The sequence below is a fragment of the Homo sapiens genome, chromosome 7 (genome assembly GCF_000001405.40).
Source record: "Homo sapiens chromosome 7, GRCh38.p14 Primary Assembly".
Lineage (NCBI taxonomy): Eukaryota > Metazoa > Chordata > Mammalia > Primates > Hominidae > Homo > Homo sapiens.
This window is the reverse complement of record NC_000007.14, coordinates 73918915-73920830: the sequence shown is the minus strand read 5'-3', so window position 1 is coordinate 73920830 and position 1916 is coordinate 73918915. Positions and strand designations below refer to the sequence as shown.

The 1916-nt window shown below is 56.9% G+C and overlaps 1 annotated feature.

The window, feature by feature from the left end:
- Window positions 1178-1472: an enhancer, noted in NCBI's record as "tiled region #8209; HepG2 Activating non-DNase unmatched - State 22:ReprW". NCBI's record gives its function as "activates a minimal TATA promoter and a strong SV40 promoter by Sharpr-MPRA in HepG2 cells {active_cell/tissue: HepG2}" and the evidence as "EXISTENCE:reporter gene assay evidence [ECO:0000049][PMID:27701403]".

Genomic DNA, 1916 nt, shown 5'->3' with positions numbered 1-1916 from the left:
ACGTTTCGACTGTTTTCTCGTCGCAGCGATCAGATGTGTCCTCTGGTGTCCCCTGGTTGTGTGTTTGGACCTCCTTCCAGGGCCCTCATGTCTGGCAACCGGCTTCCTGGGTAACTTCTTCAAGACACCATCTGGATGTCTTTAGACCGGGGGCCAGGCCGGAAATCACTCCAAAGGGTCACCACTGCCACCTCCCCTGCCTCTGCCTGCGCCCCTGTGGGTTCTGTGCATCATGGGGAGGCCAGTGCCCCTGGGCCTGCTCCCAGCAAGACGTACAGACCTCCCCTCAGACCAGGCCCAGCAGGACAATTTCCTGGACACCTGTCTGGGACCCCCGCTCCACCACCCTGGCTTGGCAAAAAGCAGGTCTTTCCCACAGGAAACTTACATCCAAGTAGAACCAGAAAGCAGCAACAGTGCCCAAGAGCTTTTTATAGGTGACAAAGTGCTTTTGCGTGCACCGATCCCATTTGCACCGCATTAGAAGTCTGGGAGGTGGGCGTGATTATAACCATCTCCCACTCACAAAGGAAGAACTCGGGGCGTAGAGGGAGCATCGAGGATGACTTCTGGGCCTCAGGGAGACCACAGTAGTGCAGCAGGGGCCTCAAACCTAGACCTCTGGCCTCCAATGCTGCACTTGAAATAAACAGGCTCATAACTATAACCAGCTGTGCATGGGAAGTGCTGAATGGTACTGAGTTGAGGAATCTTGGGGATCCAGGGAGATTCTTGCAGGGGCAGCCCAGAGTTGGACACAAATGTCAAGGAACAGAGACAATTCAAATGTGTACCTTCCCATGTGCCCTCTCATCTGGGCCTCCTCCCACCTCACACAAGGGGTGACTCTCACGCACCCCATTTTCCCAATCAGGAAACCAAGGCTCAGAGATGTAAGGACTGGGTCAAGGTCACCCAGGCAGCAGTGGGGAGGGGGGGAGGAGGGGAGGGGAGGGCTGTGAATCCAGTGGGCCGGGAGATACCAGGCCCTCTTGGCCTCACCTGGGTGACTGCCAGGAGACCACGGGGGGACAGAGGGGGCATTAGGAGTGGGGCTGGGGCCAGGGTGGAAGGCAGGTGCCCTCTTGTGCCAGGCAACAAACATGGCCTTTATAGGCACAGGGCAGCCTGCAGGCCATCAGTGACATGGAGTGGAAGTGCGGCTGTGGCGGGACCTGTCTGCAGCCTCCCTAATCAACGGAGAGGTTGAGGAGACGGTCAGGGAGTGGGGCTCCAGAGAGGCCAACAGGTGTGTTCAGACAACCAGGTTTCCAGCCACCGAGAGGAAGCCAGCTCTCCGCTCGTTCACTGCAGGGAGCTGGGTCCCCAGCCCCTTGTTTTCCTCTCCTGCTTTGTTCTGTCTCATTCTGATTGGGTGTTGGCCTCTCTACAGATGTTGGGGGAAGGGCTGGGAAGGAAGGTTTGTTTCCAATTGGTTTCAGGAGGCTGGAGGGAGACGTCTGTTTTTCCGAACCAAAGCAGAGCCGGTCCACATTAGGGCCGAGGCATGAAATCCACTCTAAAATGTTCCGTGTGTCTCCAGCATGGGGCTGGTCCTCACCATCACTGTCTCCCATCTGGGCCCACTCCCTGGACCCGAGCGGGAGATGATACTCTGCCAGTCTCCCCTGACCCGAGTCATAGCAGAATGGCCCAGGGCAAAGCATGCAGCAACAGCTGCCAGTCCCACAGCACTTGACATGTTTGTGGCTGGCTGGAGCCAGCTTGGGCTAGTCACTACCACTCCGCCTCCTCCAGGAAGCCCACCCTGACCACCACCACCCACAGGGTTTCACAACACTGCCTCCCCATGGCCTAGGCTCTGGGCAACTTCACTGCCAATTTATGCTTGGTCAGATCCCGCATTGCACTGCCACGTTTCAGAATTTAATATCAATCTCCTTCTATTGCATGTT